Source organism: Homo sapiens, chromosome 16 (genome assembly GCF_000001405.40).
Source record: "Homo sapiens chromosome 16, GRCh38.p14 Primary Assembly".
Taxonomy (NCBI): domain Eukaryota; kingdom Metazoa; phylum Chordata; class Mammalia; order Primates; family Hominidae; genus Homo; species Homo sapiens.
This window is the reverse complement of record NC_000016.10, coordinates 9,012,973-9,031,140: the sequence shown is the minus strand read 5'-3', so window position 1 is coordinate 9,031,140 and position 18,168 is coordinate 9,012,973. Positions and strand designations below refer to the sequence as shown.

The 18,168-nt window shown below is 47.2% G+C and overlaps 2 annotated features.

The window, feature by feature from the left end:
- Positions 4,180-4,679: an enhancer, noted in NCBI's record as "H3K4me1 hESC enhancer chr16:9120319-9120818 (GRCh37/hg19 assembly coordinates)". NCBI's record gives its function as "activates a minimal SCP1, AML or CMV promoter by ChIP-STARR-seq in primed H9 embryonic stem cells {active_cell/tissue: H9 hESC(primed)}" and the evidence as "EXISTENCE:reporter gene assay evidence [ECO:0000049][PMID:30033119]".
- Positions 15,335-15,629: a silencer, noted in NCBI's record as "tiled region #10025; K562 Repressive non-DNase unmatched - State 22:ReprW". NCBI's record gives its function as "represses a minimal TATA promoter and a strong SV40 promoter by Sharpr-MPRA in K562 cells {active_cell/tissue: K562}" and the evidence as "EXISTENCE:reporter gene assay evidence [ECO:0000049][PMID:27701403]".

The window sequence follows — 18,168 nt, the reverse complement described above, 5'->3', positions numbered from 1 at the left end:
CCAAAAGATTGAAAATAGGTCTTCAAACAAAAACTTGTATATGAATGTTCATAGTAGCAGTATTAATGATAGTGGATAAAAGTGGAAACAATCTTTATGTCCATCAATGGATGAATGAATAAACAAACTGTGATATACCTGTACAATGGATCATTATTCTGACATAGAAATGAGCTACTGCCAGGCACGGTGGCTCACACCTGTAATCCCAGCACTTTGGGAGGCCAAGGCGGGCGGATCATCTGAGCTCAGGAGTTCAAGACCAGCCTGGCCAACATGGCGAAACCCTGTCTCTACTAAAAAATACAAAAATTAGCCGGGCATGGTGGTGCAAGCCTGTAGTCGCAGGAAGTAGCCAGACATGAAAGGTCACATATTGTGTGATTCCATTTGACACTTTCAAAATAGGCAAATCCATAGAGATAGAAAACACAGCCAGGCGCAGTGGCTCACGCCTGTAATCCCAGCACTTTGGGAGGCCGAGGCAGGTGGATCATGAGGTCAGGAGTTCAAGACCAGCCTGGCCAAGATGGTGGAGACCCCTCTCTACTAAAAATACAAAATATTAGCCAAGCACGGTGGCAGGTGCCTGTAATCCCAGCTACTCGGGAAGCTGAGGCTGGAGAATCGCTTGAACCCGGAATGGGGGGCGGGGGGGGTGTTGCAGAGGTTGCAGCAAGCCTAGATGGTGCCACTTCTCTCCAGCCTGGGCGACAGAGTGAGACTCTGTCCCAAAAACAACAACAAAAGAAAAACAGATTGGTGGTTGTCAGGGACTTGGAAGAGGAGGGAATGGGGAGAAATCGCTTAATAAGAGTTTTCTTCTGAGATGAAGAAAATGTTTTGGAGAGATATTAGAAATATTAGGTATCTCTAGATAAAGAGATACCTCAGCCAGGTAAAATGACTCACATTTGTAACCCCGGTACATTGGAAGGCCGGGCAGACAAATCCCTTGAGCCCAGGAGATAGAGAGCAGCCTGGGTAACATAGTGAGACCCCATTCCTACAAGAAATTTTATTTTATTTTATTTTATTTATTTATTTATTTTTTTTTTTTGAGAGGGAGTTTTGCTTTTGTTGCACAGGCCTAGAGTGCAGCGGTGCAATCATGGCTCACTGCAACCTCTGCCTCCCGGGTTCAAGCAATTCTCCTGCCTCAGCCTCCCGAATAGCTGGGATTACAGGCGTGTGCCACCACACCTGGCTAATTTTTTTTGTATTTTTAGTGGAGACGGGGTTTCACCATCTTGGTCAGATTGGTCTCCAACTCCTGACCTCAGATGACCCACCTCCCTTGGCTTTCCAAAGTTGCTGGGATTACAGGTGTGAGACACCACACCAGTCCCTACAAGAAATTTTAAAACTTAGGCATAGAGGCAGGCACCTGTGAGCCCAGTCACCTGGGAGGCTGAGGCAGGAGGATTGCTTGAGCCCAGGAAGTGAATGTGGCAGTGAGCTAGGATGGCACCGCTGCACTCAAGCCTGGGCAACAGAGCCAGATCCTGTCTCGAAAAAAAGAGAGAGAGAGAGATCTCTAGATAGAGGTGGTGGTTGCACAACATGATGACATGCTAAATGCCACTGAATTGAGACGGTTAATTTTATGTGATACAAATTTAATTTTCACAAAAAAAGAAGGAAAAACATTTTACTATATAAAGAAAAAGAAAAAGATAGGGAGGCCCCAGGTAGGTAAGTACTTAGAAAGCTAGGTAGACAAGGCCAGGTGCAGTTCACCTGATGTCGGGAGTTCGAAACCAGCCTGATCACATGGAGAAACCCCATCTCTACTAAAAATACAAAATTAGCCAGGTGTGGTGGCGCATGCCTGTCATCTCAATTACTGAGGAGGCTGAGGCAGGAGAATCGCTTGAACTCAGGAGGCAGAGGTTGCAGTGAGCTGAGATCACGCTATTGCACTCCAGCCTGGGCAACAAGAGCGAAACTCTGTCTCAAAAAAAAAAAAAAAAATCGAAAAAAAAAATAAAGCTAGGTAGACAAACGATGTGACCAATTGATTAGGCACAAATGTTACCCTCTTCCTATTATCCCCTTTCCAGAACTTCAACCCAACACCCAACATAGAACCTGACACCTAAATTCAAAAAGTCTATGGCCAGGCAAGGTGGCTCATGCCTGTAATCCCAGCACTTTGGGAGGCGGAGGCAGGCAGATCACTTGAGGTCCAGAGTTCAAGACCAGCCTGGCCAAGATGGTGAAACCTCGTCTCTACTAAAAATACAAAAATTGACCGGGCGTGGTGGCTCATGCCTGTAATCTCAGCACTTTGGGAGGCCGAGGCAGGCGTATCGCCTGAGGTCAGGAGTTCTCCACCAGCGTGGCCAACATGGTGAAACCTCGTCTCAACTAAAAATACAAAAAAATTAGCTGGGCGTGGTGGCAGGCGCCTATAATCCCAGCTCCTCAGGGGGCCGAGACAGGAAAATCTCTTGAACTCAGGAGGCGGAGGTTGCAGTGAGCCGAGATGGCGCCATCGCATTCCAGCCTGAGGGACAAGAGTGAGACGGATCTCAAAAAAAAAAAAAAAAAGAAAAAGAAAAATACAAAAATTAACCGGGCGTGCCTGTCACAGCTACTCGGGAGGCTGAGGCAGGAGGATCGCTTGAACCCGTGAGACGGAGGTTGCAGTGAGCCGAGACTGCACCATTGCACTCCAACCTGGGCAACAGAGTGAGACTCTGTCTCAAAAATAAATAAATACATAAATAAATAAAAATAATAATAAAGGAAAGAGAATTACAAACTAAAGGTCTGAAAATCAGAATTTAGCCCAGAAATGTATTTTTGTTTGGCTGGCAAAATGCTTTATTTAAAAAATTGAGTCACCATTTAAAACTCAACAAACATCAACTGCAGATTTCCAATATCTCTTGAAAATTGCTAAAATGGGTGGGGCTGGTGGCTCATGCCTGTAATCCCAGCACTTTGGGAGGCAGAGGCAGGAGGATCACTTGAGCTCAGGAGTTTGAGATCAGCCTGGGCAACATAGAAAGACCCCGTCAATTTTTAAAAAATTAATAAAAAGACAAATGAAAATTTCTGGCCAGGCACAGTGGCTCATGCCTCTAATCCCAGCACTTTGGGAGGTCGAGGAGGGTGGATCAGTTGAGGTCAGGAGTTCGAGACCAGCTTGGCCAACCTGGTGAAACCCCATCTCTACAAAAAAATACCCAAAAAATTAGCTGGGCATGGGAGGCGGAGCTTGCAGTGAGCTGAGATCGCGCCACTGCACTCCAGCCTGGGCAACAGAGCAAGACTCCGTCTCAAAAAAAAAAAAAAAAAAAAAAAAAAGATTAGCCGGGCATGGTGGCAGGCCCCTATAATCTTAGCTACTCAGGAGGCTGAGGCAGGAGAATCGGTCGAAGCCTGGAGGAGGAGGATCTCAGCTCACTAGCCGAGATCGTACCACTGCACTCCAGCCTGGGGTGACAAAGCAAGACTCCATCTCAAAAAAAAAAAAAAAATTTCTAAGATGTGGCAACACTGTGCCCACACCTCCCCTGGCAACAAGCAGCCAGAATTCAACAGGAGCCGCCTCTTTAGAAAGGGCATGCAACCCTAGTTCGCCACAGTCTCCACCCCTCTCTACTGTTGCCCAGGGATGAGGCTGAAATTAGAATTTCAAATGGATTACCTTTACATTTGAACTGCTGTTTTTCTTTCAGCAAAGCAGTATTTCTCAGTATCCACTATTTCTCAGTATCAGAATTGAGAAAGAAAGGTGGAAGGCATTTTGGCATTTGAAGAGTAACCCGAAGTACTGTATTATGCAAAGAAAGATTACTCGAGGCTCCCGGGCATTTAGTTCCGGGAACATAACTTTTTGAACTTTAGATTCTTGCTGAAACCTGTCAGAAGCTGACAAGACAAGGAGGGAGGGGGCTGAGTGTAGGGGAAGGTGGAGAGAACAGGAGTTTCTAGAATTCAGTTTGCGGCGTCCTCGCTACAATCTCAGCTGTTAAGGAAAGAAAGTGAATTCCTTGAGGCTCTGGGAAATTGGAGATGGACAAACTGCTGTTTTCTTATGGTTCCTGAATGGGGCTATGGTTTTTGGCATACGCTAATTATATGAGACAAGAGAAGGAATTTTTCAGCACTATGTGTTAAAAGGTGACTACAGCCATGTGCCACATAAGGACGTTTCAGTCAACGATAGACTGCAAATACAACGGTGGGCCTATAAGATTATAATATCAGGCCGGGTGCGGTGGCTCACGCCTGTAATCCCAGCACTTTCGGAGGCCGTGGGGGGCAGATCACGAGTTCAGGAGATGGAGAACATCCTGGCTAACACAGTGAAACCCTGTCTCTACTAAAAATACAAAAAAATCAGCCGGGCGTGGTGGCGGGCGCCTGTAGTCCCAGCTACTCGGGAGGCTGAGGCAGGAGAATGGCATGAACCTGGGAGGCAGAGCTTGCAGTGAGCCGAGATAGCGCCACTGCACTCCAGCCTGGGCAACAGAGCAAGACTCTGTCTCAAAAAAAAAAAAAAAAAAGAGATGATAATATCAGGTTTTGGCCGGGCTCGGTGGCTCATGCCTGTAATTCCAGCACTTTTGGAGACTGAGGAGGGCAGATCACTTGAGGTCAGGAGTTTGAGACAAGCCTGGCCAACATGGTGAAATGCCGTGTCTACCAAAAATACAACAAATTAGCCAAGCACGGTGGTAGATGCCTGTAATCCCATCTACTTGGGAGGCTAAGGCAGGAGAATCGGTTGAACCCGGGAGGCGGAGGCTGCAGTCAGCCAAGAGTGCACCATTGTACTACAGCCTGGGTGACAGAGTGAGACTCCATCTCAAAATAATAATAATAATAACAATAAATAAATAATAATAGCAGGTTTTTACTGTACCTTTTCTATGTTTAGATAATCAACTACTTCCCACTGCATTACAAATGCCTTTCAGCACAGTAACATGCAGTATAGGTTTGTAGCATTGGAGTAATAGGCTAGACCTATATCCTAGCTGTGTAGTAGGCTAGACCATCTAGGTTTGTGCAAGTGCACTCTGTGATGCTCCCCCAATGACAAAATTGCCTAAGGACTCCTTTCTCAGCACATGCCCCGTTGTTAAGCGACGCGTGACTGTATTTGACTAAATGCATTTTTTGCTCTTCCATAAGTAGTGTGTTACCACTCTTAAGAATGACTAGGCCAGTCGCAGTGGCTCATGCCTGTAATCCCAGCAATTTGGGAGGCTGAGGCAGGTGCATCATTTGAGGTCAGGAGTTCAAGACCAGCCTGGCCAACATAGAGAGACCCCCATCTCTACTAAAAAAAAATACAAAAATTAGCCACGTGTGGTGGTGTGTGCCTGTAATCCCAGCTATTCAGGAGGCTGAGGCAGGAGACTCGCTTGAACCTGGGAGACGGAGGCTGCAGTGAGCGGAGATTGTGCCACTGCACTACAGCCTGGGCGACGGAGCGAGACTCCACCTCAAAAAAAAAAAAAAAAAAAAAAAAAAGGAATTACTGGACTGTGGCTCACACATGTAATCACAACACTTTGGGAGGCCAAGGCAGGCAGATCATTTGAGTCTAGGAGTTTGAGACCAGCCTGGGTGACATGGCGAAACCCCATCTCTACAAAAAATACAAAAAATTAGCTGGGAGTGGTGAGACATGCCTATATTCCCAGCTACTCAGGAGGCTGAGGTGGGAGGATAGCTTGAGCCTGGGAGGTCGAGGCTTGCAGTGAGTTGTGATCACACCACCGCACTCCAGCCTGGGCAACAGAGAGAGACCCCGTCTCAACAACAAAAAAAGAATTATTGGCCGGGCGCGGTGGCTCATGCCTGTAATCCCAGCACTTTGGGAGGCCGAGGTGGGTGGATCACGAGGTCAGGAGATCGAGACCATCCTGGCTAACACGGTGAAACCCCATCTCTACTAAAAATACAAAAAAAAAAAAAAAAAAAATAGCCGGGCTTGGTGGTGGGCACCTGTAGTCCCAGCTACTCTGGAGGCTGAGGCAGGAGAATGGCGTGAACCTGGGAGTTGGAGCTTGCAGTGAGCGGAGATCGCGCCACTGCACTCCAGCCTGGGAGACAGAGCGAGACTCCATCTCAAAAAAAAAAAAAAAAAGAATTATTAAATGGAAAGGCATTTTTTTAAAGATATGACCAAAGAGTGAATAAGGAAGATGGGATTATTGTTGATGCACTTCTCTAGGTAATGCGTTCAGGGATTTTCCATCTGCTGAGTATTCTCTCTGTATCTCCTCTTCCTGTCTCTGAATTCAAACATTCATTGCCTCTGGGGAGATGTGTAGCAAGGGATCCTGTATCACACAGAAATAATCTTTTGAGCTTTTGTTTTCAAAAGTCTAAAGCACATTATATGCAATCGTATCCAGGCTGTATCATTAAGTAAAGTATGATGCAGAACAGCTTGTTTCATTTGCTAAAGTTCATGTGGAGGATAAAAAGAAAACTGTGGAGCCCCTGGACCCAAAGGGCTTTTTGGATAAATGTTTTTGTTGTTGCTGTTGCTGTTGTTGTTTTGGTTTTGTTTTGTTGAGACAGGGTCTCATTCTGTTGCCCAGGCTGGAGTGCAGTGGTGCCATCTCTGCTCACTGCAGCCTCCACCTCCCAGGTTCAAGCGATTCTCCTGCCTCAGCCTCCCAAGTAGCTGGGACTACAGATGCACACCACTACGCCCGGGTAATTTTGTATTTTTAGTAGAGATGGAGTTTCTCCATGTTTGTCAGGCTGGTCTCGAACTCCCAACCTCAGGTGATCCACCCGCCTTGGCCTCCCAAAGTGCTGGACCTACAGGTGTGAGCCACTGCGCCTGGCCAACTGAGGTTTTTTTGCAAGTGTAATTATGAGGTCGGGTGTGGTGGCTCACGCCTGTAATCCCAGCTACTATATATTATAGACAGTATCTATATAATCCTTAATACACTTAGCATATAGTTGGCATATAGTAGTACACATTAAGGCTATGATTAATTATATGAGGTCAGTATTATAGACCCTATTTTACAGTAAAGGAAAATACATCGTTCAGAAAACACAGTGAACTTTTTAAGGTCACCCTGCAAATAAGTGGCAAAGCAAAGATTTTAATTTAGGATTATTGGCCTACAAAGGCCACACAACCTGTAGTGTGCTAGTAAATGTTTAAAACCAGCCTTCCAGGTATAGTTTGGATAAATTTGGCTGATATTTAAATTTATATTAACAAGTGAGACGAAAGTGAAATGAAACAATGATAGTGTATATTGGAACTTTGCTTTTTCTTTTTTCTTCTCTTTTTTTTTTTTTTTTTTTTGAGACAGGGTCTTGATCTGTCACCAGGCTGGAGTGCAGTGGCATAATCTCAGCTCACTGCAGCCTCAACCTCCTGGGCTCAAGTGATTCTCCCACCTCAGTCTAAAGAGTAACTGGGACTACAGGCACACACCACCATGTCCAGCTAATTTTTGTATTCTTTTTTAGAGACAGGGTTTTGTCACGTTGTCTAGACTGGTCTTGAACTCCTGGGCTCAAGGGGTTCACCTGCCTTGGCCTCCCAAAGTGCTGGGATTACAGGTGTGAGCCACTGCATTCAGCGAACTTTGCTCATTTGTCAATGTGACCAACATGTTTGTTGAATTGGATCTTGAATATTGCAAGATTTTTCTCCATTTGTTGTACTATTCACAATGGAATGGTTACAGATATGATACGCTTTGAGTTTGACCTGCCTTATTAACATTCTCTCAGGCCGGGCGTGGTGGCTCACTCCTGTTATCCCAGCACTTTGGGAGGCCGAGGCGGGTGGATCACCTGAGGTCAGGAGTTCAAGACCAGCCCGGTCAACATGGTGAAACCCCATCTCTACTAAAAATTAGCCGGTATGGCAGCACGTGCCTGTAATCCCAGCTATGTGGGAGGCTGAGGCAGGAGAATCGCTTGAACCCAGGAGGTGGTAGTTGCAGTGAGCTGAGATACTGGTATTGCACTCCAGCCTAGGCAGTAGAGTGAGGCTCCGTCTAAAAAAAAAAAAAAAAAGTCTATCACTTTCTCAAACCCGGACAATCAACTCAACAAATAAAGCCAGGGTTTGTAGTATCTGCTGATGGCTCTTTTGTAAATACTCCCACTATGGTTGATTTTTTTTTTTTTTTTTTTCATAAACAGGGTCTTACTCTATCACTCAGGCTGGAATACAGTGGTCGCTATATTGCCCAGACCTGCCTTGAACTCCTGGCCTCAAGCGATGGTCCAGCCTCGGCCCCCAAAGCACTGAGATTACAGATGTGAGTCGCCGTGCCTTATAGGCAGCCCTAGGTTAGTTATATCGACCTGGCAGTCTGATTCCTGTGCCCAGTTACTACTATATATAGACCACAAACTGAACTGTGCAAGCACATCACTTTCTTAGATTTCTAGAGTTCAAGTTCATTTCTTTCTTTCTTTCTCTTTCTTTTTTTTTTTTTTTTTTTTGTGAGACAAAGTCTTGCTCTGTTGCCCAGGCTAGAGTGCAGTGGCACAACCTTGGCTTACTGCAACCTCCACCTCCTGGGTTCAAGCAATTCTCCTGCCTCAGCCTCCTGAGTAGCTGGGACTACAGGCGTGTGCCACCACGCCCAGCTAGTTTTTATATTTTTAGTAGAGACGGGGTTTTGCCATGTTGGCCAGGATGGTCTTGAACTCCTAACCTCAGGTGATCCCCCTGCCTCAGCCTCCCAAATTGCTGGGATTAAAGGCGTAAGCCACTGCACCAGACTCAAGTTCATTTCTATTTGAGCCATCGTTGAGCTAGGCCAAACTCAAGCCCAAGCCCAAGTCCTTCCTGGTACTCCCACCCCTCTCCACACCTGAGCTACGGTCCTGGAGGGTGGCATGGTACCAAAGTGCCCCTCTGTCATTTATCAACACAGGTTGCCATGGAGACATCCACCATCTTGGTGCATGTGGCCTTTTAGGTTCTAGAATTCTCTGCTGATTCTATGTCCTACTCAGGGCTCCAGGAACCCTGGGTTCAGTCTTAGCTCTGCCATTTACAAGTCCCTTCACCTCTCTCTCTGAGTCTTTGCCTCCTCACCTGTAAAAGGGGGATGAAAGAAGCTGTGGTCAAATTAGCCAGGCATGGTGGTGCTTGCCTGTAATCCCAGCTACTTGGGAGGCTGAGGCAGGAGAATCACTTGCACCTGGGAGGCAGAGGTTGCAGGGGAGCCGAGATCACGCCACTGCACTCCAGCCTGGGTGACAGAGCAAAACTCTGTAAAAAAAAATAAATAAATAAAAACAACAACAAGTAATATTTGAGTAGTGTAGAGAGTGAGAAGTCTCCCTCCTTCGCCTGTCTCTCTTCCCCAGTTTCTCAGCCCAGTTGCCAACATTGTTACTGGTTCCTTTTGTCCTTCCAGAAAGCATCTACATATATCCTAGCAACTAGTTCTATATATTCTCTCCCTTCCCACATGCACACTGTTTTTTAATTTTCTTAAGAAAAATTCCAAACATACACCAAAATAGAGAGAATGGCACAATGATCCCACTTGTGGCCCCATCAGCCAGCTTCAACCACTGGCCACTCATCACCAGTCTTGTGTTACCTCTACCTCCACCTAATTCCTACTCCCACTAGATCAATTTGAAGCAAATTTCAGACATTCTTATTATTTCAAACATAAATATTTCAGAATAGACCCCGAACAGGGCACAGTGGCTCATGCCTGTAATCCCAGCACTTTGGGAGGCCGAGGTTGGCAGATCATGAGATTAAGAGATGGAGACCATCCTGGCCAACATGGTGAAACCCTGTCTCTACTAAAAATACAAAAATTTGCTGGGCTTGGTAGTGCCCGCCTGTAATCCCAGCTACTCGGAAGGCTGAGGCAAGAGAAACGCTTGAACCCGGGAGGCGGAAGTTGCAGTGAGCGGAGATCACGCAACTGTATTCGAACCTGGAGACAGAGTGAGGCTCCATCTCAAAAAAAAAAACCAAAACAAACAAACAAAGAGGCAATGTTACCAGGGTGAGGTGGGAGGATCACTTAAGATCAGCCTGGTCAACACAGAGAGACCCTGTCCCTACAGAAACTAAACAAAACCATAGTTACAACATCATCATCACAGCTAGCAATTTTAACAGTATGTCTTGGTCTGTTTGTTCTGCTATAACAAAATACAACAGACTGGGTAATTTATAAATAAGAGAAATTTATTTTCTCATAGTTCTAGGGGCTGGGAAGTTCAAGATCAAGGTGCCAGCAAGTTTGGTGTCTGGTGATGACCCATTCCTTGTAGATGTCACTGACTAGGTGTCCTCACGTAGTGGAAGGGATGACAGGCTAAAAGAGCCCAACCTTGTTTCCTCCAGCCCTTTTATAAGGCACTAGTCCATTCACGAGGGCAGAGAAGGCCCCATCACTTAATATTGCCACAGTAGGGATTAAGTTTAAGCACGAATTTTGGAGGGAACACACTAAAACCATAGTTCAGTAATTCCTCAATGTAATAAAATATCCAGACCAGGCGCAGTGGCTCACACCTGTAATCCCAACACTCGGGGAGGCCAAGACAGGTAGATCAACTGAGGTCAGGAGTTCAAGACCAGCCTGACCAACATGGCAAAACCCCATCTCTACTAAAAATACAAAAATTAGCCAGGCATGGTGGCACACACCTGTAATCCCAGCTACTCAGGAGGCCGAGGCAGGAGAATGCCTTGAACCCAGGAGGCGCAGGTTGCAGTGAGCTGAGATGGCACCACTGCACTCCAGCCTGGGCAACAGAGTGAGAATCTGTCTGAAATTAAATAAATAAATAAATAAATAAATAAATAAATAAATAAATAAAGGCCAGGTGCAGTGGCTCATGCCTGTAATCCCAGCACTTTGGGAGGCCAAGGTAGGCAGATCACAAGATCAGGAGTTCCAGACCAGCCTGACCAATATGGTGAAATCTCGTCTCTACTAAAAATACAAAAATTAGCTGGGTGTGGTGGCAGATGCCTGTAGTCCCAGCTACTTAGGAGGCTGAGGCAGGAGAATTGCTTGAATCTGGGAGGTGGAGGTTGCAGGGAGCCGAGATCATGACACTGCACTCCAGCCTGGGCGAGACAGTGCGACTCCATCTCACATAAATAAATAAATAAGTAAATAATCCAGTTTAGTGATCAAATCTCTGAGAATGTTTTACTGTTTATTTGGATTAAAATTCAAATAAGGGGCCAGGCACGGTGGCTCACGCCTGTAATCCCAGCCCTTTGGGAGACCGAGGTGGGCAGATCATGAAGTCAGGAGATGGAGACCATCCTAGCCAACACAGTGAAACCCCGTCTCTACTGAAAATACAAAAATTAGCTGGGTGTGGTGATGCACGCCTGTAATCCCAGCTACTCAGCAGGCTGAGGCAACAAGAATCGCTTGAACCTAGGAGGTGGAGGTTGCAGTGAGCTGAGATCATGCCACTGCACTGCAGCCTGGTGTCAGAGTGAGACTCCATCTCAAAAAAAAAAAAAAAAATCCAAGTAAGGTTCAAACATTACAATTGATTGATATTGCTAATCTCTTATTTATTTATTTATTTATTTTTTATTTATTTGAGATGGTGTCTTGCTCTGTCGCCAGGCTGGAGTGCAGTGGCACAATCTTGGTTCACTGCAACCTCCGCCTCCTGGATTCAAGCGATTCTCCTGTCTCAGCCTCCCGAGTAGCTGGGACTACAGGCGGGCGCCACCATGCCTAGCTAATTTTTGTATTTTTAGTAGACATGGGGTTTCACCATGTTGGCCAGGATGGTCTTGATCTCCTGACCTTGTAATCCACCTGCCTCGGCCTCCCAAAGCTCTGGGATTACAGGCATGAGCCACCATGCCTGGCCCCTCTTTTTTATTTTTTAGAGACAGATTCTTACTGTGTCACCCCCGCTGGAGTGCAGTGGTGCAGTAATAGCTCACTGCAGCCTCAAACTCAAGAGCTCATGCAATCCTCCTGCCTCGGCCTCCTGAGTAGCTGGGGCCACAGGTGTGCATCATCATGCCTGGCTAATTTTTAAAAAAACGTTTTGTAGAGACGGGGTCTTACTGTGTTGCCCAGGCTGGTCTCAAACCCCTAGCTTCAAGCCATCCTCCCACTTCAGCCTCCCAAAGTGCTGGGATTATAGGTGTGACCCAATGTGCCCGGCCACCATGGCTGGTTTTAAGTTACCAACATGAGATGATGTAACGTTGATGATGGGAAGAGATGTACAGTGGCACACCATGATACAGTGTCCCCATCATACAGATGAAACAGATATAAATAACTCAAACACACAGATAATGCTAAAATGTAATAGAATAATTAGAAAGTGATGAGTTTTGAGTACTTATTATCTTCACTTTTTTTTTTTTTTTCTTGAGATGGAGTCTCACTCTGTCATCCAGGCTGGAGTGCAGTGGCATGATCTCGGCTCACTGCAACCTCCACCTCCCAGGTTCAAGAGATTCTCCTCCCTCAGCCTCCCGAGTAGCTGAGATTACAGGTGCCTACCACCACACCCAGCTAATTTTTGCATTTTTAGTAGAGACGGGGTTTCACCATGTTGGCCAGGGTGGTCTCAAACTCCCAACCTCAGGTGATCCACCTGCCTTGGCCTCCTAAAGTGCTGGGATTACAAGCTTGAGCCACCACATCCGGCCTGGATATGCTGTATTTACCAACTAATAGGCATTTCTTTTATTTCCATTTTTTGGCTGTTGTAAACAATACAACGAAATTTTTGAAGACTTAACAATCAGTTCTCACAAGCTGGTATGGGCTGGCTCCAGCACAACCCTGCACACAGCGGCTGTTTCTGAACCAAGAAAAAACAGGCAGATTCATGCTCAGAAGAAAATACCAAGAACAATTCCCTTTTTTTTTCTTTTCTTCTGAGATGGAGTCTTGCTGTGTCCCCCAGACTGGAGTTCAGTGGCGCAATCTTGGATCACTGCGAACTCCACCTCCCGGGTTGTAGTGATTCTCCTGCCTCAGCCTCCCCAGTAGCTGGGACTACAAGCCTGCACCACCACGCCTAGCTAATTTTTGTATTTTTAGTAGAGACAGGGTTTTGCCATGTTGGCCAGGCTGATCTACAAACTCCTAACCTCAGATGATCCACCCACCTCAGCCTCCCGAGTAGCTGGGATTATAGGCATGAGTCACTGCACCCGGCCGCCAAGAATAATTCTCATAGGGCTAGAGAATCTCCCTAGCATTGAGTACCAAGCTGTTAAAACCTGGAGATTTGTCTTCCAGAGCCTCATTGTGAATGGGCGAAAAGAGGGATCTTGAAAGGCATCCACTAAAGGCACAGAAGGGCACACACAGCAGGGCAGGCACTGGCTAGGGAACCAGAGAGACCCAGCTCTGCCACGTTCTGGCTATGGGACTATGAGCAAGTCACTTCACCTTTCTGAGCCTCCACTTTCTCTTCTATAAAATGAGGCTGACTGGCCAGGTGTGGTGGCTCACACCTATAATCCCGGCATTTTGGGAGGCCAAAACGGATGGATCACCTAAGGTCAAGAGTTCGAGACCAGCCTAGCCACATGGCGAAGCCCCGTCTCTACTAAAAATACAGAAATTAGCTGGGCATGGTGGCGCATGCCTGTAATCCCAGCTATTCGGGAGGCTGAGGCAGGAGAATCACTTGAACCCAGGGGGTGGAGGTTGCAGTGAGCCCAGATCACACCACTTCACTCCAGCCTGGGTGAAAGAATGAGACTCTGTCTCAAAAAACAAAAAACCAGAAATGAGGCTGATTATACTGCCTACCCTAAAGGGTTGCTCTGAGCATTAAGTGGAATAACCATGCACAAAGTGCTAGGCACTTGTCTGAATTAGAGGAAGCATTTGATAACTACTAACTCCTAATATGGTCCTATCGTGTCCCTCCACTGATCCAGGACAGAATGATGGGGAACAACAGTATCTCCCTTGATTGGTCCCTTTCTCTGTCATGGCGCATTGTGGTGCCATCCTGACCCCACAGTGTGGCCAAAATTGGGCAATGAGTAAACAAATGCCCCAGAGGTGGTTGTTGTGCTCACTGAAGTCTCATGTCCAGGATGCCTCCGGGCTGCCAACTATGGGGAAGGAAGTGGTGAGAACACAGGCCATTCAGCAGCTCATTCACTTTGCAGACTTGCCTGCCCCATGGATAAACATGGTTGATAAAGACAAACAATGGCGATTGTTATTTGAAACATCCAAGGCAGAGAGAGCAAAACAATAATGTCTCTGAAAACTTTGAGGGTTTCTGGAAAGAGCTCTGGATTTGCAGCCAAGATTCCCTGTGACAGACCCTGGGTGACTTTGCTTTTTTTTTTTTTTTTTGAGACGGAGTTTCGCTCTGGTTGCCCAGGCAGGAATGCAATGGCATGATCTTGGCTCACCGCAACCACCACCTCCCGGGTTCAAGTGATTCTCCTGCCTCAACCTCCTGAGTAGCTGGGATTACAAGCATGCGCCACCATGCCTGGCTAATTTTGTATTTTTAGTAGTGACGGGGTTTCTCCATGTTGGTCAGGCTAGTCTCGAATTCCCGACCTCAGGTGATCCACCCACCTTGGCCTCCCAAAGTGCTGGGATTACAGGCATGAGCCACTGCGCCCGGTCTGAGATTTACTTCTAGCCAATACACTATGATATTGTTGTTGGATGCAATGGTTCACGCCTGTAATCCCAGCGCTTTGGGAAGCCAAGGCAAGAGGATCATTTGAGGCCAGGAGTTCGAGGTTACAGTGAGCTACTATTGCATCACTGCACTCTAGCCTGGGTGACAGAGTGAAACCCTGTCTCTAAAGAAAAAAAATAGAATATGACATTGCTAATATAATTAAGGTCAGAAACTGGGCTGGGCACAGTGGCTCACATCTGTAATCCTAGCACTTTGGGAAGCTGAGGCAAGTGAATCACTTGAACCCAGGAGTTTGAGACCAGCCTGGGCAATATAGCAAGACCCCAAGTCTACAGAAAATACAAAAATACAGGTGTGGTGGTGCACACCTGTAGTCTCAGCTACTTGGGAGGCTGAGGTGGGAGGATCGCTTGAGTCCAGAAGGCAGAGGCTGCAGTTAGCCAAGATCCCATCACTGCACTCCAGCCTGGGCAACAGAGTGAGACTCTCTGTTTTTTTCTTGTTTGTTTGTTTGTTTGTTTTTGGTTGTTTGTTTTTTTGAGACGGAGTTTCTTGTTGCCCAGGCTGGAGTGCAATGGCGTGATCTTGGCTCACAACCTCTGCCTCCCGGGTTCAAGCGATTCTCCTGCTTCAGCCCCCCGAGTAGCTGGGATTACAGGCATGTGCCACCACGCCCGGCTAATTTTGTATTTTTAGTAGAGATGGGGTTTCTCCATGTTGGTCATGCTGGTCTCAAACCCTCGATCTCAGGTGATTCTCCCGCCTGTACCTTCCAAAGTACTAGCATTACAGGCATGAGCCACCGCGCCCGGCCAAGTTATGATACTGGTTTGGCTGCTGTGACAAAGGTCAAACTAATAGGGGCTAAAATGAGATAAAGGTTTGTTTTTCTCTTAAGTCACCTCCATCCAGGACTGATAGGCCAGTTCCGCAGTGTCAGAGATTCAGGCTGATACATCCTAGTCCACAGTGGCTACTCCAGGCTGCGGTGGCTCACACCTGTAATCTCAGCACTTTGGGAGGCCAAGGCGGGCAGATCACTTGAGATCAGCAGTTCAGACCAGCCTGGCTAACATGGTGAAACCCCATCTCTACTAAAAATATAAAAAAATTAGCCTGGCGTGGTGGCGGGCACCTGTAATCCCAGATACTAGGGAGGCTGAGGCCTGAAAATCGCTTGAACCCAAGAGGTGGAGGTTGCAGTGAGCTGAGATTGTGCCACTGCACTCCAGCCTGGATGATGGAGTAAGGCTCTGTCTCAAAAAAATTTTTTTAAAAGGGCTACTGCAGCTGGGCGCAGTGGCTCTCACCTGTAATCCCAGCACTTTGGGAGGCTGAGGCAGGCAGATCACTTGAGGTCAGGAGTTTGAGACCAGCCTGGCCAACATGGTGAAACCCCGTTTCTACTAAAAATACAAAAATTAGCCGGGTGTGGTGGTGCACACCTATAATCCCAGCTACTCAGAAGGCTGAGGCAGGAGAATTGCTTGAACCAGGGAGGCAGAGATTGCAGTGAGGCAAGATTGCGCCACTGCACTCTACTCTGGATGACAGAGACTTTGTCTCCAAAAAAAAAAAAAAAAAGGGCTACTTCAGTACCCACCATCACACTAACAATCCAGCCAGCAGGAAGTAAAAATGGAGAGCATGCTTGTTTCTTTTAAGGCCACGACCTAGAAGTTGGACGTGTCACTTTGCTCACATTCTATGAGCCAGAGTTTAATCAAGTGGCAAACACGGTCTCCTCTGAGTGCTCAGGTAACACACAGGGACCTAGTACTGAAGAAAGAAGAGGAGAATGGCTATCAGGGGAAAGTTAGAATTCACTGCCACAAGCTGAAGGAAGAAAATCTCAGGCAGAAGGAATTACAATTGCATGCACACACAGGCTTTCAGAGCAAATGATACTTGAGCTGGGTATTAAAGATGTTTGGAGTGAGCTGGGTGGAGAGGGCAGCCTGGGTAGAAGCAAGGAGACCAGAAAGATGCCAGTGTCTGGAGACAAGAAGCCCAGTGTGCCTGGAGCACTGACAGCAACACAAATCTTGAGATGCAGCTGCCACCCTCCCTGTGTTATAGGTAAATAAAGCTCAGAGAGGTTCAGAAACTTGGCCAGGATCACAGGCTGGACTCTGTGAGGCTCAGGTGTAGTCAGGATTCAACTGATGAGGTCAAGAATCAAACCCAGGCTTATAGGATGCCTGCAGGCTTACAGTTTTTCTCTGCTCAGTAGGATTTTGGGTTTTGTTTTGTTCTCTGCATAAAATCACTAGTTCTCAGTCCTGGCTGCACATTATAAACACCTGAGAAGGTTTTTTTGTTTTTTTAGTATCCAGGTTGGTCATAGTGGCTCATGCCTGTGATCCCAGTGCTTTGGAAGGCTGACTTGGGAGGACTGCTTGAGGCCAGGAGTTTGAGACCAGCCTGGGCAATATAGTGAGACCCCAGTCTCTTAAAAAAAAAAAAAAAAAAAACTAGCTAGGTATGGTGGCATGCACCTGTAGTCCCAGCTACTCAGGAGACTGACGCAAGAGGATTGCTTGAGCCCAGGAGTTCGAGGCGGCAGTGATCCATGATCTTGCCACTGCACTTCAGCCTGGGCAACAGAGTGAGACCATGTCTTAAAATAAAAAAAAAAAGTCAGTGGGGTGGGCCACACCCCCCAGACCCATTGAACCAGGCTTTCTGGACATGGGGCCCAGCCATCAGTATTTTTTTTTAAAGTTCCCCACCTAATACCAACATGCAGTCAGGTTTGAGATCCTCCTATATCCGAGATCATGTTCTGGTGACCCCAGATTCCTTATTCCTACTGCCCAGATGGATGTGATTTCGTCATACCTCTTAATGCGAGTACCAGAAGATTCTAGAAGTTGGGGGAGGAGGCTTGCAGAATCCAAAGCAGAACAGCCCGTGTTCGCTCTGCTCCAGCACGAGGCCTGGGTGATTTATTCCCACGTCTTGCTGTCCCATTTGCAAGAAAAGGAACTCAGAGTATCTCCCTCCGCTGGTTTGCTCACTACGACTCCCACCAGGTGAGAAACAGGAGCCGGACTTGGCATGGGGGCAGGCAGGCAGCTGCTGCCGCCGCCTCCTCCTCCCGGGAGCTCAGTCCCAAAGTGGTCCAGCCTGCTTCCCTCCCACCCCTGCAGGCGGCAGATGGAGCTCGCGTCCTCCGCACGCACCGTCGTCGCCCCCAGCCGGCCCTGTGCTGGCAGAGAGGGGAGAGGGGACGCCAATGGGAAGAACAGCTCCCCCACTGCTGGGTGCGCCCGGATTAATTCTGTAGCCTGGGAAACGCAAAGGGTCTCCAGGGCTCTCCTCGCTTGGAGTCACTTTTTCCCTTTAACATCCAAATCCGGGAGCTCCAGTCCCCATCTCAGGACTCCCACCTGAAACTGAAGGCCTAGGGGGCGGTGTGGCTCATGCCTGTGATGCCAGCACTTTGGGAGGCTGAAGTGGGAAGATCGCTTGAGGCCAGGAGTTGGAGACCAGCCTGGGCAACACAGCGAGACCCCTGTCTCTCCAAAAATAAATTAA